This window comes from Homo sapiens, chromosome 1 (assembly GCF_000001405.40).
Source record: "Homo sapiens chromosome 1, GRCh38.p14 Primary Assembly".
NCBI lineage: Eukaryota > Metazoa > Chordata > Mammalia > Primates > Hominidae > Homo > Homo sapiens.
Window position 1 is genome coordinate 219,305,345 of NC_000001.11, and position 21,282 is coordinate 219,326,626.

Consider the following 21,282-nt stretch of genomic DNA (forward strand, 5'->3'; position numbering starts at 1 on the left):
GGAAGCATATAAGGTGCTGTTTTCATAAGTCTTTAGCCTGGATGGAAAGTTATGCAGAAGTTAGAAAAGAGACATACTGAAGAAAAAAACAGCCGAAGATGCCTCCCCCTCAAGACTATTCATTTATCTATAAAGGATGTTTTGGGGTCACAAAATTGGATGATACTTCCAAGGACTCCATAAAATTATTGTGAAGCCTATAATGGCTGATGTAAAACACTGAAATAACAGTGCATGTCTTAAACTGATGCACGCAACTTGATTGAACAGGATAATGGCACAATGGCAGAAAGTGATATTCAGGGCATTGGGTATCTGTTGAAAACCCTATCGTTTACAAACAGAAATTTGTTGACCACTTACTCTGTGTTGGGTGCTGTACCAGGTGCTGTGAGAATATGAAAGAAATACAAGGCTGATTCCTCTGCTGAGAGAAATCTAAAATTGGAGGGGAAATGAGGATCCATATATGTCCTTGGCAAAACAACCTCTTTCTTCCAACACCACCAGCTTCATCATCACTATCAACTCTGAACTACAATACTTCCATTTTGTTTATGCGGTATTTTATGATTTAACCCAGGAATGTTGACAGTATTCTCCCATTTCCAGATTAAAGATATTTCATTTGTCCAGGTTATCTCAGGTTACATGAAAAGTAATCTTATCTTTGACACTCTGAAAGTCTCAGCTACTACTAGCGTTTTCTAACAGACAATGAACTCCATACATGTAATTTAGTTCACATCAATCATACAGAACATATAAATATATACATATGAATGGTATCTTCTTGAGTGTAGACTTTGAGAGGCCAAGTCCAAAATACTTTTGGAAAATCTCTTTGGAAATTGTCTTCAACAAATGCATTGCATTCTCTGGTTTCCTAATGCTGTCAGATATGTAACTTGTAAACAATAAATTTTATAAGTAACCAAAGGTTATTGGGAGCTCTGATGGTTAATTTTGTGTCAATATGACTGAGCCACAGGGAGCCCAGGTATTTGGTTTATGATTATTCTAGTGTGTCTGTGAGTGAGTTTCTGGATGAGATTAACATTTGAATCAGTAGAATGAGTAAAGCACACTGCCATCCCTAATTTGGGTGGGTGTCATCCAATTAGTTGAAGACCTTAATAGAACATAAAGTCTAGTAAGAAAGAATTCCTTCTGCATATCAACATGGGACATAAGTTTTTTATATTTTTTTCCTTTGGACTTGAAGGAAAGCACTGGCTCTTCCTGGGTCTCCAGCCTATTAGACTTGGACTGGAGTTACACCATCACCTCTCCTAGGTCTTCAGCTTGCTTATGTAGATATTGGGGCTTGTCATCCTCCATAATTATGTGAGCCAAATCCTTAAGATATATAGGTAGGTAGGTAGACAGACAGATGCATAGATAGATAGATAGATAGATAGATAGATAGATAGATAGATAGATACATAGACAGATGCATAGATAGATATAGATAGATAGATAGATAGATAGATAGATAGATAGATAGACAGACAGACAGACAGACAGATAGATAGAGATAGAAAGTAAATCTCCTATTGGTCCTGTTTCTCCGGAAAACCCTTATTGATGCAGAGGCCAAACTCAATGAATACATTAGTTGATAAGCTGGTAATACAATTTTTGGCCACATGTATTCCAAATGATATATATACACATACATATATATATATATATATGTATATATATATATATAATCATCTCATCCCTTATTTTTCTTATAGGATCATAAACTGACTTTGAAAGTAACTTTAAAATGGGAATTCCAAATAGCTCTTGAGCAATGGAAGTATGTGGCAGAGAAAACTAGCTGGTCACAAATTCATTTCTTCTTTCTACTTAGAATGCAGCTTGACTGCGTTTCCCGACTGTCTTGCTTGTGACTGAGTCTTCACATATACCCCTTTTAGGTGTGGCTTATAACGATCTCCCACACAAGATTTCACACTCTTTTCTGTTCAGTGGTGACATTAGCCATGAATTGAAGATGGTGGAATGTGAGATGGTTTCTTCCAAACCCAAGTCCCTGCATCAACTAGAAGAGAGCTGATTAGGAATACTCATTTTGGATTTTATAGGACCAAAAAATAAATTTGCATTTTGTTAAGCCACTGAGATATGGGTAGTGTGGCTATTTTGTAACCTTAGTTGTTGATGGCTGAAATTGCCTAATTAATAAGCAGCATCATTAGAATTAGAGCAAAGTTGAGAACATTAGAGGACAAGATACATGTCAATAACATCTGATTTCATTGTTAATATTTGATATGGTTTGGCTCTGTGTCCCCACCCAAATCTCATCCTGAATTGTACTCCTATAATCCCCAAGTGTTGTGGGAGGGACACAATGGGAGATAGTTTGAATCATGGAGGCAGTTTTCCCCATACTCTTCTCATGGTAGTGAACAAGTCTCATGAGATCTGATGGTTTTATCAGCGGTTTCTGCTTTTGCTTCCTCCTTATTTTTTCTTGCCGCCGCCATGTAAGAAGTGCCTTTCACCTCCCACAATGATTCTGAGGCTCCCCAGCCATATGGAACTGTAAGTCCAATTAAACCTTTTTTCTTCCCAGTCTTGGGTATGTCTTTATCAGCAGCATGAAATCAGACAGGAAAATGTGAGAAAGTTTGGAACTTCCTAGAGACTTGTTGAATGGCTTTGACAAAAATACTGATAATGATATGGACAATGAAATCCAGGCTGAGGTGGTCTCAGATGGATATGAGGAACTTGTTGTGAACTGGAGCAAAGGTGATTCTTGTTATGTTTAATGAAGAGACTGGTGGCATTTGGCCCCTGCCCTAGAGATTTATGGAACTTTGAACTTGAGAGAGATGATTTAGGGTATCTAGTGGAAGAAATTTCTAAGCAGCAAAGCATTCAAGAGGTGACTTGGGTGCTGTTAAAGGCATTCAGTTTTAAAAGGGAAGCATAATATAAAAGTTTGGAAAATTTGCAGCCTGACAATGTGATAGAAAAGAAAATCCCATTTTATGAGAAGAAATTCAAGCTGGCTCCAGATATTTGCATAAGTAATGAGGAGCTGAATTTTAATCCCCAAGATAATGGGAAAAATGTCTCAGAGCATGTCAGAGACCTTTGCAACAGCCTCTCCCATCACAGACCCAGAGGTCTAGGAGGAAATAATGGTCTTGTTGGCAGGGCCGAGGGCCCCCATGCTGTGTGCAGTCTAGGGACTTGGTGCCCTGTGTCTCAGCTGCTCCAGCCATGGCTGGAAGGCGCCAACGTAGAGCTCGGTTTGAGGCTTCAGAGGGTGCAAGCCTCAAGCCATGGCAGCTTCCACATGATTTTGAGCCTGCAGGTGAACAGAAGTCAAGAATTGGGTTTTGGGAACCTTTGCCTAGATTTCAGAAGATGTATGGAAACACCTGGATGCCCAGGCAGAAGTTTGCTGCAGGAGTAGGGCTCTCACAGAGAACCTCTGCTAGAGCAGTACAGAAGGGAAATGAGGGGTTGGAGCCCCCACACAGAGTCCCTGCTGGGGCACTGCCTAGTAGAGCTGTGAGAAGAGAGCCAGCGTTCTCCAGACCCCAGAATGGTTGGTCTACCTGCAGCTTGCACTGCACACCTGGGAAAGCTGCAGATACTCAACATCAGCCTGTGAAACCAGCCAGGAGGGAGGCTACACGCTGCAAAGCCACAGGGGCGGAATTGCCCAAGACCATGGGAACCCACCTCTTGCATCAGCTGACCTGGATGTGAGACCTGGAGTCAAGGGCGATCATTTTGGAGCTTTCAAATTTGACTGCCCCACTGGATTTGAGACTTGCATGAGCCTTGCATGAGACTTTCATGAGCCCTTTGTTTTGCAAAACCCCTTTGTTATGGCCAGTTTCTCCCATCTGGAATGGCTGTATTTACCCAATACCTGTGTACCCCCATTGTATCTAGGAAGTAACTAGCTTGCTTTCCATTTTACAGGCTAGTAGGCAGAAGGGATTTGCCTTGTCTCTGATGAGACTTTGGACTGTGGACTTTTGGGTCAATGCTGAAATGAGTTAAGACTTTGGGGGACTGTTGGGAAGGCATAATTGGTTTTGAAATGTGAGGACATGAGATTTGGTGGGGCTGGGGCTGAATGATATGCTTTGTCTCTGTGTCCCCACCCATATCTCATCTTGAACTGTACTCCCATAATTCCCATGTGTTGTGGGAGGAACCCGGGGGAGAAAATTTGAATCATGGAGGAGGTGTCCCCCATACTCTTCTCGTGGTTGTGAATAAATCTCATGAGATCTGATGATTTCATCAGGGGTTTCTGCTTTTGCATCTTCCTCATTTTCTGTCGCCTTCACCATGTAAGAAATGCCTTTTGCCTTCTGCCATGATTCTGAGGCCTCCCCAGCCATGTGGAACTGTAAGTTCAATTAAACCTCTTTTTCTTCCCAGTCTCAGGTATGTCTTTATCAGCAGCATGAAAATGGACTAATACAATATTCATCTCAAGACACAGGACTTATATCTTAGCTTGTTAGAACCCAGTTACTACCATGTGTTGTCATGTCAGTGACTAGAAGTCACAGAAACCAAAATGGTAAGTGAGTTGGAATCCCAGTCTTAGTTTTGATCTACTTAAGTTGCCCTCATTGACACTGAACTGGTTACATTTCTTATTTAATGAAGATAAAATTTAGCATTTAAAAGGTAGTGATAGTGTGCTCTCTGGGAAATAATATTATTAGGGGTTGGAAGATCTGAGACTGAGCCTCAGCTTTGCTATTTACTGATGGAGTGAACACTCCAAGTCTGTTACCTCATCTATAAACCAAAGTGAGATTATAACACTCCTCCCTGTGTTGTTGAGAAGATCAAAGTGACACACACTGAAAGGGAGGGAATGTTTTTGACTGTTTTCAAGGTACAAAAACATTGTACCTATTTATGGGGGTGATGAATAATAAATCCAATAGTTTTTACTCCCTCATTTTCTCACATGCAGTCAGCCCTGCCTGCTCCCTATCTGAGGTCCCCATGGCTTTCCAAGAACCTGGGAACCTTAACTCACAAGAGCCCAGATTGGAATTTGTGGGTTTGAATAGCTGATTTGAGTTGGAAGACATGCCATAAGCAAGCACTCAAGTGTCCTGAAAGCAGGAACAAACAGATCAAAAGATCAAGGCCTGTGAGTAAAATAAACAAAATGGGAACGCTTTGAGGATGGTTGGAGCCTGCCCTTATCTCACTTTGTCTAAGCTTGGACTTCAAAGCACATTTTGTGACTCAGATCAACTAAAAGCAAAGGCCATGCTATGAATTATAGAGTAGGGGGGAAATGAAATAATGGCAGTCTTGAGAAAAAAGTGAAGTGAAATAAAATTTGTCTTCATGATTTTCATTTTTTCATGAGTGTATATCCCTTACCCCTATGGGAAAAACGAACAATACATGTAGGAAACTGGTTAAGAAAATGGATTTTGCTGCCAGAAAATCCTGAATTAGCATCTCAGTTCAACTACATGTTCTCTATCTTCTCTTGGAAAATTTAACTCTTAGTAGCCTCCAATTCCTTGGTAAAGTGAAAATAGTTCCACTGTCTAAGGATTGCTGAGAAGTAAGAAAAGTGTTGATGAAGGTGAAGCATTTAGCACAGTTCCTGGCTCATAGGGAGAGAGATTAAATATTCACTTTCATTGTCTTTGGCTTATCCATTCTATCATTTTGGTTTATCCATTCTACATTACCCACCCTGTAGTCTTATTCATCATATAAAATTATTGCAGAAAATGTTTTTTCCTTAGTTATCTAGTCTAAGAGTTTTTTTTTTTTTTCTTTCTCCCTGAGTCTGGACATGGAGTTTGTGCTTAACCACAACCTTTATCTTTCAGTCATGGAATGGAAAATAGGAAGTGAGAAATGCAATATATGTTCTTGAAGTTTAAAAATTGTGAGATGCAGCAATATCACCTGAAAAATGGTGAAGTGTGAACATGCATGGACTGTGTTGGATGCTGTAATCTACAGATTCCTGATTAGCAATCAATCTACTTTTCTGGAATGACATTTGTCAGCAGTATGAACATATTTGCTTGGAACTATGGAACAAATATTCTTGGTAGGAACAATATCAGCATTATTCCCCCCATACCAACACCAATCCCAATCTTTGATGTCATTTACACGTTGGCTTGCCTTCCCTTCTATGTTGTAGGTGTTTTTTTTTTTTTTAAGGTGGACACCATGTCTTTTTCATCTTTCTATCATTCTCTTTTCACAACCTAGCATGGTGTTTTGGATATAGTAGTTCCCTAATACAGATTTTAAACAAGATAAAAGGCTTAAATACATTTAATCTTTCTCATAGTTAAAGAAATGCATCATGATTATACCACCAGGACATCAGATATTAATGGTGAGAATTTGAATATACGCATAATCCAACAAACATTTCTTAAGCACTGATTTTGTACCTGGTGCTGTGCATTTTTTCTTTTCTATATTTCATGTAACTTTCTATTAAAATAGTGTTGGCTAAATACATAGAATGCTTTTAATAACAGGTTTCCTGCTGCTAACCAATAAAAATTTTTCACCAATAATATTTTGAATTCTATACATTAAAAATATATATTGTGTGATCCAGGAAACCCGTTGGAAGGTTACAGTGGAATCTTCTTATTTTTGTTTGAATTACTCTAATCATTCTGCTTTCTGAGCACTTGCCAAGCTGCTGTAAAAGGAAGAAGCTTGTGATGTGAAAGGAAAGAGGAAGAATGAATGCTGGTGCATTGGACAGTTTGGGAAAGGTGCTTTCCCAAGTTTGGTGCCTTGGGAAGTTGAGGAGAAGGACATATTGCAGGAGGAAGGAGGGCACTGGACTTCTGAGGAGAGCTGGGCAAGTGAGGGCTGCAGAGAGGTGGGAGAGGGTCAGGGGCTGTAGAGGAATGAGTGAGAGGACAGCTTGGATAAACTTCACTTTGAAATTTTGCCAGGGACCTCAAGTATTCCTTTCCCTGTTTCTTTAGATCAAGCACACCCTTTGTCCTAGGCTCTTTGTGCCTCCTTTCCTCCTCTCCCTCAAAACAAAACCAAAACACACATATCACATCATTTTTGGAGTTGAGGAGGTCTCAGTGAAGGCTGTGTCCAATGAGCAGCTGCATGAGGATACAGGCAGACCCCTGGGGAAACCACGCCAGGGAGCCCTTGGGGCTGGGAGTGCCCAGTAGAACCTGAGTATGGGAGAAAGATTTTCTTGGGGCACAGTTCATCGGCACAGCTTCAAGAGTACTATCATGAAAGAGAAGGCAACTAGGGGCTCTCTACCTCTTTCTTCTAAAGCATTTTTGTGGGCACCTTGTCTGTTTTTTCAGTGCTCCTCGGGATTTTTGTCCCAAATCTAACAACAGTCAAAGCATATGACTTCAGGTGGTATTGGGCTGAATTTGTACCTGAAGGCGATAGGCTGCGTTAGAGAAGGTAGCAGTTCCTCTTCTCCTGGTCTATTGGTGGGCCCTCCAGAGATGTAGAGAGGAAGCACTGAAGTGACAGCTTACTAACCAGAAGTCTTATCACTGTGACTACAACTACCGATAATAGTCCTTACAATGATTATGAATGATGATACTAATAATACAGTCACACTTCAATGATTCCTGTCTTCTAACATCTCTTTTTCTGTTTAGTATTATAGGTTATAGTATTGTAGGTTATTGTGACTATGCCTTATCTTGCCTGCCTATCTGTAAGTTTTTGGAAGGCAGATCTCGTTGTTCTGTCTCTTCATGTTTATAATCCTTTATATCATCCAGTGTAGAGCCATGTGCTGTGACCCTTGGGAAATGATAACATAGAACAAGTCATAAGTGAAAGAATGTGGGCTCTGGACAAGTGGAAAGGAGTTCACTGTCTACCGCCACTACTGAGTTGTGAGTCACCAACAACAAACTACTTAACGTCAGTGTACCATTTAGGATTATATTGGGTTTGTCTTAAACAAATAGTTTTATTTTTCTCATGTGACAAAAGCCACCTTTAAGGTTATAGCTTTTATCCTCATGTTGGTGACTTTGCACTCACAAGACAGCTGCTCCTCTTTCAGCAGCATACCCAAATTCCAGCAAGAAGGGGAAAGGCTGTGTGAAAATTTATTCAAAAATAAATTTTTATAGCATCTTACGTTTTCAGAGAGTTTTCTTTTTAAAAAAACTTTTTTTTTTTTTGAGATAGAGTTTCACTCTGTCACCCAGGCTGGAGTACAGTGATGAGAGGCATGATCTTGGCTCACTGCAACCTCCACATACTTCCGGGTTCATGTGATTCTCCTGCCTCAGCCTCCCAGATAGCTGGGATTACAGATGCCCACCACCACACTCAGTTAATTTTTGTACTTTTAGTAGAGACAGGGTTTCACCATGTTGGCCAGGCTGGTCTCCAACTCCTGACCTCAAGGGATCCACCCACCTCGGCCTCCCAAAGTGCTGGGATTACAGGCATGAGCCACCCACCCGGCCTTTAAACTTTTATTTTAGGTTCATGTGCAAGTCTGTTACATAGGTAAATTGAGTGTCACAGGGGTTTGATGTACAGATTATTTTGTTACCCAAATAATAAGCATAGTACCTGATAGATAGTTCTTTTTATCTTCACACTCTTTTCACCCTCCACCCTCAAGTGGGCCCCAGTGTCTGTTGTTCCCTTCTTTGTGTCCATATGCACTCCGTGTTTAGCTCCCACTTATAAGTGAGAACATGCAGTATTTTGTTTTCTGTTCTGGTGTCAGTTTTCTTAGGATAACAGCCTCCAGCTCCAACCATGTTGCTTCAAAGGGCATGACGTCATTATTTTTATGACTGCATAATATTCCATTGTGCATATGTACCACATTTTTAAATCAAATCTACCATCATTGGGCATTTAGGCTGATTCCATGTCTTTACTATTGTGAATAATGCTGTGATGAATATACATGTGCATGTCTTTATTGTAGAACAATTTATATTCCTTTGGGCATATACCCAATAATGGGATTGCTGTATCAAATGGTAATTCTGTTTTAACCTCTTTGAGAAATCACCAAACTGCTTTCCGCAATGGTTGACAGAGAGTTTTTATTTTTTTTCTTTTTCTTTTTTTCTTTTTTGAGATGGAGTTTCGCTCTGTCGCCCAGGCTGGAGTGCAGTGGCGCAATCTCGGCTAGCTGCAAGCTCCGCCTCCCGGGTTCAGGCTGTTCTCCTGCCTCAGCCTCCCTAATAGCTGGGCCTACAGGCGACCACCACCGCGCCCAGCTAATTTTTCGTATTTTTAGTAGAGACGGGGTTTCACCGTGGTCTCGATCTCCTGACTTCGTGATCCACCCACCTCGGCCTCCCAAAGTGCAGGGATTACAGGCATGAGCCACTGCGCCTGGCTGACAGAGAGTTTTTAAATACACTGTTTCATTTGATAATATATTGTGAATCTTGAGCTAGCATGTCTTTATTGATCCATTAACGCAAAGATTTTGACTCAGTAGGCCTGAGATGAGGTCTTAGAATCTTCGTTTTAACAAATACCACAGGTGATTCTGATGCAAGTGACTCAATGAAAATTCTTTGGAAAACAGTGTCTTAAAAGAAGCATCTGAATAATAGAATAATAACTATATGTTTGATATTTGTGTGTGTACATGTTGGGATGGATGTTTGTGTGTGTGTGTGTGAGTATGGGTGTGTATGTTTTGAGGAGGGGTTGATTCTGTAAGCTTTACTGTTGGTAACATAACCAGATCTTAGCATAAATGAGAAATATAATAGATATTTTAAGTATTATTGGGAATCTCAAATTTAGATTAAAACTGAAATCTTTGCCTTTAAAAAGCGTGATATGTTATTATAGAAATAGTACCTTGTAAGAATCGTTAAGACGATGTGCAAAAGCAAATACAAGAAATTAATGTAACATCATCAGGATTCATATAAATTTTGATAAGTCAAAAATTTTTATGAAATTTAGGACTTTTGACTGATTAGGCAATTTACAGTTGGCAAAAGCTGTACTTGAGTCAATCTTCGCCTAGAAAATTTGACTTCCTGTTTCTAAGAAAAAAAAACTCCTCATAAAAAGCTCTCATAAAACAACTCCCAAGGCTTCTTGCACATCAAATAGCTCTTACAGAAACAAATTTTGATGAGGTAAGTGTAAGGAATTTAGTAACATATGGATTAAATTTCCCTTAAAATAGACATCATTTTAAAATTAGGAGGAAAAAAAGTTCTTGGTAAAATATGAAAATGTGTTTTGGTTTTCCTTGAACCCCAAACACAATTTGAAAAATAGTTCAAGATGTTCACCAACCCACCTCCAATACAACTGGTTTCACCCATCTTTAGTTCCAGGATATGAACTGTTGGGAGTTCTGGTGATTATAAATACTACAAAAATATCAGCAGATACTGGCAAAATTTCAGAGACAAATAAGGAAACAGCAAAACTTTAGAAATAAGTACATTTAAAAGTTAGGGTGTTTTTCTTCAAAAACTTAGGGATGGGCAGTCCATCCCCTAAAAGCTAATGGAATAATTTAAATTCTTTATTGTATTTCAGAAGACAATGTGGATAGCTAAATATTTCAAGAAAACTTCTCATTATAATTAAATGGAAAAAAAATGCCCCATGGCAAGAAAAAATTTGGTGAAAAGCTACATGTACGTATAAGGACAAACCTATCTCAAAGATCCAATAATATTAATATTATTTTATAGAAGCAGATACGCTTACAGGTTTTGATCATGACTATTTAGCTCAGTTGATGAAGGCTGGTATTAGCAAAATTAAGATCATGGTGTTTATCATCAAAGATTATTGAATTTTGTTAAATGTTTTTTCTGCATCAATTAAAATTACCATTTCTACATCCTCTTCATTCTGTTAATGTGGTATATTACATTGATTGACTTTTTTAAGTTGAACCATCCTTGCATTCTAGGAATAAGTCTCATTTTGTCATAGTGTATAATACTTTTAATATGCTGTTGAATTTGGTTTGCTAATATTTTGTTAAAGATTTTCATATCAATGTTCAAAAGGATTATTGATTTGTAGTTTTCTTGTAGTGTCTTGTCTGGATTTAGTATCAGGGCAATGCTGTCTTCATAGGATGAGTGGAAAGTGTTCTTTCCTTTTAAATTTTTTGAAAAAGTTTGAGAAGGATTTATATTGATTCTTCTTTGAGTGACTGATAGAATTCACTAGCAAGGCCTCCAGGTCAAGGAATTTTCTTTGTTACGAGATGTTTGTCCATAGCAGCAGTATTTACAATAACTAAAATGTGAGAGCAACCCATGTGTCCATTGATGGTCAAATGTATATGCAAAAATGTGGTATGTACATATAGTGGAATATTATCCAGCCTTAAAAAGAAACAAAATTCTGATATAGGCTGCAATGTGGATTAATCTTGCAGACACTACATTAAATGAAATAAGCCAGTCGCAAAAAGGCAAATACTTTATCATTCCACTTATATGAGGTACTCAGTGTTTTCAAAATGTTGGAGACAGGAAGTAAATGGTGATCATTAGGGGCTGGGGGGAGGAGGAAATGGGGAGTTACAGTTTAATAGCTATCAAGTTTCAGTTTTAAAAGGTGAAAAGTATTACGGAAATGGTAGTGATGGATGCACAACATTACTAATGTATTGAATACAACCAAACTGTACATTTTAAATGGCCAAGATGGTCAATTTTATGTTATAGGTATTTTACCATAATTTAAAAAATTGGAAAATTTTTAAGGTCATGGTTCAATTTGTTGTTCAATTTTTATAAACTTGCCCTTTTCAATCAGTTTTTCTCACTAGAGTGGCTGTTCTAAAATCCAAATACTTCATGTCAATTTTCTTAAATCCTTCATGCATTCTCCATTGCTTCCGAAGTAAATCCAAACTCCTTAGCATGTCAGCAAGGACTTTCCTGTGTATCTCTGGTGTCTCATCTTTCACTATTTCGTGTTTCAACACCTAAATAGCTATATTCCATTCACAGGAACTATTTTCAGCCCCTCCAGTGTTTCTATAGTAAATGTCCTGTTGAATATTTAACTTGGATTTTTTTTCTCTTTCTCTTCTGAGAGAGGTACAGGGAAGTCACTTCAACCATCTTTAGAAAAGCAAATAATCTTTAGGCCCTGAACACAGTGTTCCCAAACAAAAAAGGGCTATATATATTTGTAGTTATATATATGAACCCTGAAGAAAATGAGGTGATGATGAGAAAGTATGCAGTTATCCTAATTGTCCCAGGAATAAGGGGGTAGAAAGAACCTATTTTCAGGATCAAAAATAAATAAATAAGCTACTTGACTTTTAGTGGTATGAATTCTTAGAAAGGAAAAAACAGATGAGGAATTTCAGGTCTGCAGGGCATAAATGCTTGGTTTAATCCTGATAGTATACTCCTGCAGCAGTTGTCGTCTCAGAGAATGACTTTATATGAGATCAAAAGACCCATGCTTTTAGCCTAGGCATCCTTCACTCCACTGGACTTGTGCTGAGGATATGGACCTTGCAGCCTTTAAGATCCATAGCAACAGGTCTGTGGTCTATCAGCATCTTTTGTGGACTCTGTAGGTCCAGTTGTCAACAGTGTCACCAAGCGGCAGCAAGAAGCAAAAGCAATAGCAGACTGATCAGACCCCAGGCTCTTCACTCTTGGGTGTTCAAGTCAGAGTGTTGACCTTCTGTTGGATTGTGCAAGCCTTTGGAGTTTGAGAAAACTCAGAAACATGAAAAACTGCAAGTGGGAGATAACTGAATGTTGGGCTAATCTAATGTGTATGGGCTTGAGCTCGTTTTCTCTGGGATTAAAAAAAGGAAGTAGATTCTCCCCTTGGGCCAATTGTGTGGATCAATTATTATCAATATCTATCATGCTTCTCTAATTTTCCATCACCTTGAGTGTTCCTCTTTCTCCTTTTCTTACAAATAACTCAAGTGTCACTCTCCCAGGAAGTCTTCCCTGCCTCATCAAGACTGAAATATCCCCTTAGCACCCTAAGCAAACACCTGTGTTACCCCCACCCCTCCCCACAGTCCCCCATCCCACCAAACCATGATCTCTTCTTCACATTGCAACTTGAATTGCCTAATTTAAATGTCTGATTTTCTCATCTCCACCAAACTGTGAATTGTATAAAACAAGGATTACATGTCATTTACTGTTGTGTTTCTACTACCTAGGATGTACTTAATAAATACTAATAATAAGAGAATGAAGCTCTCTGATTAGAAAATAGAAATATCCATGCCAAATTTTAGGCTCAAAGACCACAACCCATAATGACTAGATTACTAGTCCTTGGAATTAAATAAGTAAAAGATCACAATTTGACCAAGGTCATTAGGGAATTTTGTGTTTAGAGAAAGATAAGGGCTAATGATGAAGTCTTGGGAGCTCTCATTCCCTGATGAAATTACCGTGTCCTCAAACACTCACCAAGAGGAAGGAGAGGACCCCTAATGTGTCCCTAGAAAAATGGGCAGGGAAATATTCCAGAGTGCAGAGTTGGAGGCTGACGGGGCTTGTCCAAGGAACTTACTCCACTGCCGGTAAGAAACCCTGTTTTTCTTTCCGGGAGAAGATGGTGTGTGCTTTGGATCACTGACCCCTTGGGATTGCTTCCCATTCTTTCTCTTTTTCAAATGAAAGGCTTTATCGCAGTTATCTTTTTTTTCAGGCAGGGTCCAATCAAGAAAACAGAAACCATGTTTCAACAGAGATAATATGATGCAATGCATAAACTAAACAGGTGTTGGTAAACTAAAAAGCAAACAGTAACACAGAAACAGTAATTGCAGAAAGTAAGGACTGGAGGAGAAAGGAAGAGATGGTAGTTAAGCTCAGAGCATGTTGCTGGGCAGCTGGACTCAGACTTCTGAGGACAGAGCTTGTGTAGACCCTTCAGAAACTCAGAGGAAAGACCTCCCATAGCTGAGCCTCTGACCCGTGGAGAAGGAGTGCCATTAATGTGGTGCCTGGGGAAGCTTCCCCATCGAGTTGGAACCCAGATCTGTGAGATGTGAATGGGGAGTGCTTCCTGGCTGTACTGGAACTGCTGAGAGGATTCCATGAGGCTGATTCTGGAAATGCTAAAAGAAGCACAAAATAATGCCCCCAAAATCCCCTAGAATCCAACTACCTATGCTGCGAAGGGCCAATTCTGGGGGATTCTGCAGAAATAGGAGGGAGCAAACCTTTTCTCCGCACTCCTCTTTCCCAATCTCTAGTACCCTTTATGGGCAGAAACCACCTGCCAAAAAAGAAATGTGCTTCACAGGGTCCCAGACCCAGCATCACAGAGCAGAGCACAGAATGGTGAATTGGAGAAAGAGGCAAGAGTGTAACAAGCAGGACTGTTCAACTCTTTGTTTACTCACACTGACTCACCCCCTTCTACATGTGTTTGAACTTTTATAAAGCAATAACATCAGGATACAACCATCCTTCATAAAATGAAAACTCTGTCATCCTCTTCTCACAAAGGGAAGATACCAAGTCCCAATAGTTAACATATCCATCCTGAGCAACAGGCACAGTATCCATCTCTGTGTGGGGTTAACTAGTCTTATAATCCAGTCACAGTCCCACCTGAATATTCTGTGACCTAAACACTAATCTTTAAAATAATTCAACTGTACAATAACGCTTACATAAAATATTGGTAAAGGAAACTGGAGAAAATAGCACAGATAACACACAACACAATACGCAAGACAGAAAATATGCATGTCTGCTACAGTCCTTGTTTCTGTAAGTGGTCAGGATGTCATAGTAGGTAAGCGTTTATAATTTCTATCTCCATTCTCCGTCCCATGTTTTCTTTTCATTCAGCATCTCAGCTAATTTTGCTCTTTACCTGCTGGGATGACACAGACCTTCAATCTATACTGGTCCTGCCTTCTCTTGGTTGCTATCATTTTTCCATTAACTTTTGCTACTGGGAATGGAAGCACAAAAAGGCGCCCTCAGAATCCCCGAGAATCCAGCCATAATTCTTGTCCCCACTGTGAAGCAGCAATCCAACTTCTTCTTGATCGTCAAGATTAATCACCCAAGCAAACAGTAAGATCCTTTTTTAAATTTAATTTAATTTTATTATTATACTTTAAGTTCTAGGGTACATGTGCACAACGTGCAGGTTTGTTACTTATGTATACATGTGCCATGTTGGTGTGCTGCACCCATTAACTCGTTATTTACATTAGGTATATCTCCTAATGCTATCCCTCCCCCCTGCCCCCATCCCACGACAGGTCCTGGTGTGTGATGTTCCCCTTCCTGTGTCCAAGTGTTCTCATTGTTCAGTTCCCACCTCTGAGTGAGAACATGCGGTGTTTGGTTTTCTGTGCTTGCGATAGTTTGCTGAGAATGATGGTTTCCAGCTTCATCCATGTCCCTACAAAGGAAACAAACTCATCCTTTTTTATTGCTGCATAGTATTCCATTGTGTATATGTGCCACATTTTCTTAATCCAGTCTATCATTGATGGGCACTTGGGTTGGTTCCAAGTCTTTGCTATTGTGAATAGTGCCGCAATAAACATACGTGTGCATGTGTCTTTATAGCAGCATGATTTACAATCCTTTGGGTATATATCCAGTAATGGGATGGCTGGGTCAAATGGTATTTCTAGTTCTAGGTCCATGAAGAATCACCACACTGTCTTCCACAATGGTTGAACTAGTTTACAGTCCCACCAACCGTGTAAAAGCGTTCCTATTTCTCCACATCCTCTCCAGCACCTGTTGTTTCCTGATTTTTTAATGATTGCCACTCTAACTGGTGTGAGATGGTATCTCATTGTGGTTTTGATTTGCATTTCTGTGATGGTCAGTGATGAGGAGCAGTTTTTCATGTGTCTGTTGGCTGCATAAATGTCTTCTTTTGAGAAGTGTCTGTTCATATCCTTCACCCACTTTTTGATGGGGTTGTTTGATTTTTTCTTGTAAATTTGTTTAAATTCTTTGTCGATTCTGGATATTAGCCCTTTGTCAGATGGGTAGATTGCAAAAATTTTCTCCCATTCTGTAGGCTGCCTGTTCACTCTGATGGTAGTTTCTTCTGCTGTGCAGAAGCTCTTTAGTTTAATTAGATCTCATTTGTCAGTTTTGGCTTTTGTTGCCATTGCTTTTGGTGTTTTAGACATGAAGTCCTTGCCCATGTCTATGTCCTGAATGGTATTGCCTAGGTTTTCTTTTAGAGTTTTTATGGTTTTAGGTCTAACATTTAAGTCTTTAATCCATCTTGAATTAATTTTTGTAAAAGGTGTAAGGAAGGGATCATTTTAGTAGCATGAAGACCCCAAAATGGTCAGTGGCACCATCAAAATAAGGAGGTAGTGATAGCATAAACCAGATTTGTTTGACAAGTTCTCAAGATTGGTTCTTGGGCTATTCCTTGGAATTTACCAGGAATAAAAGTTAAGATTTGTTTCAAGACATAAGGAGGAGGAAAAGAGAAAACTACAATGGGAAGTAAGAGTGACAGAACGGCACACCCTTTTTTACTGGGTAATATACCCTAGACCAAAGCAGCAGTTCTGAAAATATTTGAAGTTTTGGAAACTGGAAGCACAATTTCTTGCTGAACTTGAGTCCCAATGCTTTGGATAAAACTAGACAAAATCTGGAACATAATGGAGGCACAGTTTCATCTATATTTAGCACACCTATATTTAGTTTTATTTTATGGAATATCAAGAACTGGCTTAGAAATATTTGTGAAGAAGGCATTTCCCTAAATTCTTCACTTCAGTTTTCATTGTTAGAACCTCCTCAATGTCTTATAACTTCCCTCAGTACAATTATGGCCAGGTTTATCATCACTGCCTGGGAAACCCCAAAAATCAGAGCTTACACAACCTGCCTATAATATACTTGTCATTTAAGCTCACTCTAAAACGCAACCTCTCAGCTCTCTCATTTGCTCAGTTGATAAATGTATCCACACTAATTAAAAGGGATGTAGGAGCTGCAGCAGTGTGATTAATATACTGGCTTGCACAGATAAACATGGTGTTTATAATAGTCAAAAGTAAATTCATTCTGGAAGACAATGAGGCGAACAATTTAGTGAAGCATTAAACTCAGGCACAGTGATTTTGGAACCAGATAACTCATATAAAACATATTCTATATTTTATAGAATATAAATAATGAAATGTATTTTTTCTTTCTTGGGAACTATTGTTATATCTTGAATGCTTTTAGGCATTCTTCCAGAAGTCAAACAAAAAAGGAGAAATTGTTTACTTGAAACTTCTAAGAAGTAAAGAAGGTGATAACTTACACAGGTCATCTCTGAGCTTAAATTGTGCGATGCTAAGAACAAAGAAATCAGAAGGGTTAAGATTCCTATGTGTTTTCACTTCCTCACTTAGCCCATTTTCTGTCCCAGTTTTTCAGTCCTCTGTTGTTCCTGTTCTTTCATGAGCATCAATGTGTGTTCAAAGTAAAAATTGAATGCTTAAATACTGCAGTAAAGGGAAATTAGAAAATCTTAAGTTAGTTTCAGTTTTAGATTTTAAGGCTGGATTCTAAATGCCAGTTTGTTTAAGCGATGCTTTTCCCTTTGTTTCTACATGTTGAAATAGGAAAGTTCTGTGGGAAATTGGCTTCCTGGTGTGAAATGCAAGACTTGAAGTTCAAAGATACTTGTGAAATCCAGTCCTTGTTTTGTTCATTAATTTCTATAAGCAAGCACAACTATTTAGCTAAACAATTCAAGACCTAACTGAACTGTTAAATGTATAAACAGCGGGACAACCATGGGAACTAATTGCCCTTCCCTGAGATGCAGCGACATTTGGGGAAAAGTCACCATATGCACATTTCAAAAGCTGCAGGTGCAACCACATGGAAAGGTTAGGTCAGTTATGGAATTGAAAGTATACTGAAAATATAAACTAACATGAACTAGGAAAAAAAGACCTCATGAAGAGGAAGAAAAATGAGAGGTGGGTGGATTCAGACCCTTGTAAAGACTTCCTGTCAATAGTCCTGGTTTCTCAGGGAAGTCTCATTATGTGGCCTTCATTAGGTGAGTTTGAAAGAGGTTAGGGAGGAAGGGGCTGAGCCAAATAGGGAAGCAGTAGGGTATCCCTTCTCATCTGTCTGTGCCCCACAAGGTTGTTGATTGCTGAAATGGGCAGAGCAGCCTGCCTGTCACATGTGGCATAATGAAATTCCTGCCCACGTCTGTTGTGAGCTCTCTCCTTTGAAGCTGGGCTCTGTTACGGCTGCTCCAAATGAAACATGTACCAAAGTGACCCATGGACAGGGAGAACTGTGGTTTCCATAGAGCTGGCATTTGTTCAACAATGTATAGTATAAGCCTGAATAATAACCGAGGCAGTTTAGAAGGGAAGAGGGCAAAGGCAAAAACAATAATAAAAACCTTAGAAAAAAGTACAGTGGATTCCTGCAGTTGCTTTAATCTCCCCAGTATAACAATATTTATGGAAATATACTATCAACACTGAGAAAGAAATATACACACACATGCATATATACTAAAACACACACCCATAACCACCCATATAGTAATAATTAAAAGGCAGTGACTTGAGTCTCCTTACCTTTCTGAACATCTGTCATGTTTTGGCAGATCATCAAAGCTCCCAGGAACATGGTAACTGACTAGTAAGCCGATGCTCTCTTCACTACCCAGTCTAAATGTGCGTTTCTCTCTGGTACTGTTCCCAAATGGTGGTTCTTTCTTACCCACTGTAAGGCCCCTTTTTCCTGCAGTGTGCATTTATTCTTTACCCTACAAGAAAACAGAATGTGACCAGATGGTTGTTACTAGGAAAGAATTATCCTGAAAAGAAACTAGATGCCAGTTTCTGATTCTTAATTCTCACTCTGTAACTTATGGGTTAAAGGCCCTGAATTTTAAGCTTCATTCTTTTTGGAGGGATAAGTGTGACCACGAGTTCTCCTTTTCTCCAAAGACGAGTGTATAGCTCCTTCATAGAATGTTCTGAAATGCCTGGAGGAACTGGGTCAGCTCTGCAAACAGTACTTACTATCCTTTCACTCTGCAGAAAGCCTGACCTTAACAATTCCACATCTATCCAAATATAAAGAACAAAAGGTAGTGACTCGGCCCCTCTCTCTTATCCCTTCCCCCTCTGCACTCGTGTTTCCTGCATTTAATAAAGGCAGCAGCTAAAATTTAATAGGAATTGGATAACCATGAAGCCATCTCCTGGAGTTACATAGCATGTTTTGTATTATAGTGTTAGGATTAAGGAAGGAAGAAGGCTAAATCTGCCTCTTGCTTCAAAAACTGGTTTCTTGACATCAGATTGACATGGATGGTGAGTGAAATACAGGATGAAGCCAAATAGTGTGTGTGTATGTGTGTGTTGGTGAGTGTGTGTTGAGGTCAGGTTGAAGAGTTGCAAAGTAAAAGTCAGTACATATGATTTTTGTTATTGTGGCAAGTTATTGCTCTAACTGATGTTTCACTGAGTCATCTAAATGTGCATAGAGTAACCGCCTTAAATACAGAATGTATTCCAGTAAAAGTGCTATAGCAAAGCTCCTTGGCTTTTTTCAAATAAGGTGTTTTCAAGCTGACATGCTGTTCATTGGGTTTGATGGTGCACACAGGAGATCTGTGTGTTCCCAAATACACCAACCTTCTTAACCATCACTAGACTGAGGCTAGTTCCTATGGGAAATATAAACTTCTTTGTTTTCAAAAAAACATATGGGCCAAATTAGAAAGTAAATAAATGAATACCTCTCAAGAATCCATGATAACACTTGCCGAGCAGTGGGTCAGGCCAGATTTAATCTAAAATCTTTCTGCTGCGTGTAAATGATTATGTCATAGCATTTGTCTTTAATTACTCACCTCTTTCCAAAGGCTTGACTCATAATGCGTTTCTCAGTTAACCACAAACACTTGTACTACAAGATTTGTCATATAGATTCACTCACTCCCTATACCCACCCCTTCTTCTTTCCCCTTCGCTACAACATTGTTAAGTCGTAGCTCCTGAAAAAGAAATTTTGAGACATTGTCTAAACCACCCCTTCCCTGATGTTTTGAAAATTTCCATGCAAAGAAAAATGGCACCGTCCCTTTCTTGACTCATGAAGACCACTATAGTAGACTTAATAGTAGTGGGAAATAGCAATACTCTATCATCATGGTTTTACACTTATATGACTTTGTTCCTCTGAGAATTTCTAAGAGTTTCAAAACATATGAAAAGAATAAAGACAATGGGTTGTAGCTTGTAAATGAGTACAAGTCAATTAAGCACCCACATACATATTTTTTCCTTCATCACTTCACTTCTCACCTCACCTTCCCCTGTGAGAAACAGAATGAATTCTGATTTAATTGAGTGAATTAAATCAGTCATGTCCTCAGCCCACTTAGCACATATTGTTAATCCACTCAGTTTTAGCAGAGGTGTTGGCTCTCATTGGTGATTGTTTCCATATCTTCTGACCAATCCTGTAAGAAGTTTGGGATTATAGAATTTGGGGGAAATATAAGAAATGACACAATCCTAAAGGTATGTCCATCCAGGATTGGTGTTATTTGTAGGTAAAGTAGGAATCACCTAAATGATGCAATTTGGGAGGTTTAAAGGATTTTCATCTCAGCTTACTACAACCTCCACCTCCTGGGTTCAAGTGATTCTCCCTGCCTCAGCCTCCCGAGTAGCTGGGATTACAGGCACCCACCACTATGCCCTGCTAATTTTTGTATTTATAGTAGAGGCGGGGTTTCACCATGTTAGCCAGGCTGGTCTCAAACTCCTGACCTCAGGTGACCCGCCTGCCTCGGCCTCTCAAAATATTGGGATTACAGGGGTGAGCCACCACGCCCAGCCTTAAAGGCTTTTTGACTCCCAAATCTTGATCCTACTAACCTGAAATTTCCATTTTGTTAGTTCGTGAGGGTTTTTTGTTTTTGGTGGGTGGGGGGTTGGGGGGTGGGGGGGCATTGAATGAAAAGGTCTCTAAACAGCCACAAGAATTTTCTTAAGGTTAGAATGAAAATTGCAATACTGGCAGGGCTTAATGTCATATTAGTTTGTGCCTCCAGGAAGGAGGTGGAAAGATGGCTGGGACCCTGAATCTTCATTCTGTATCTGTTGTCTATTATAATTCCAGTGGAGGTTATTACTATATAGGACATGATCCCCAATTCCCTTCTGGGATTCTTGACTCGGGGTAGTGGCCTAAGGCCCCGTATCAACAAGAAAATTCCTTCTACCTATTTGATTCAAATTAGATTAAGTAG

At 39.3% G+C, this 21,282-nt stretch overlaps 1 protein-coding gene across 10 annotated transcripts in view; it reads left to right on the forward strand.

Annotated features, from left to right (window-relative positions):
* LYPLAL1 (lysophospholipase like 1) overlaps positions 1–21,282 on the forward strand; it is a 271,619-nt gene that overhangs the window by 131,467 nt on the left and 118,870 nt on the right. The window lies entirely within an intron of this gene.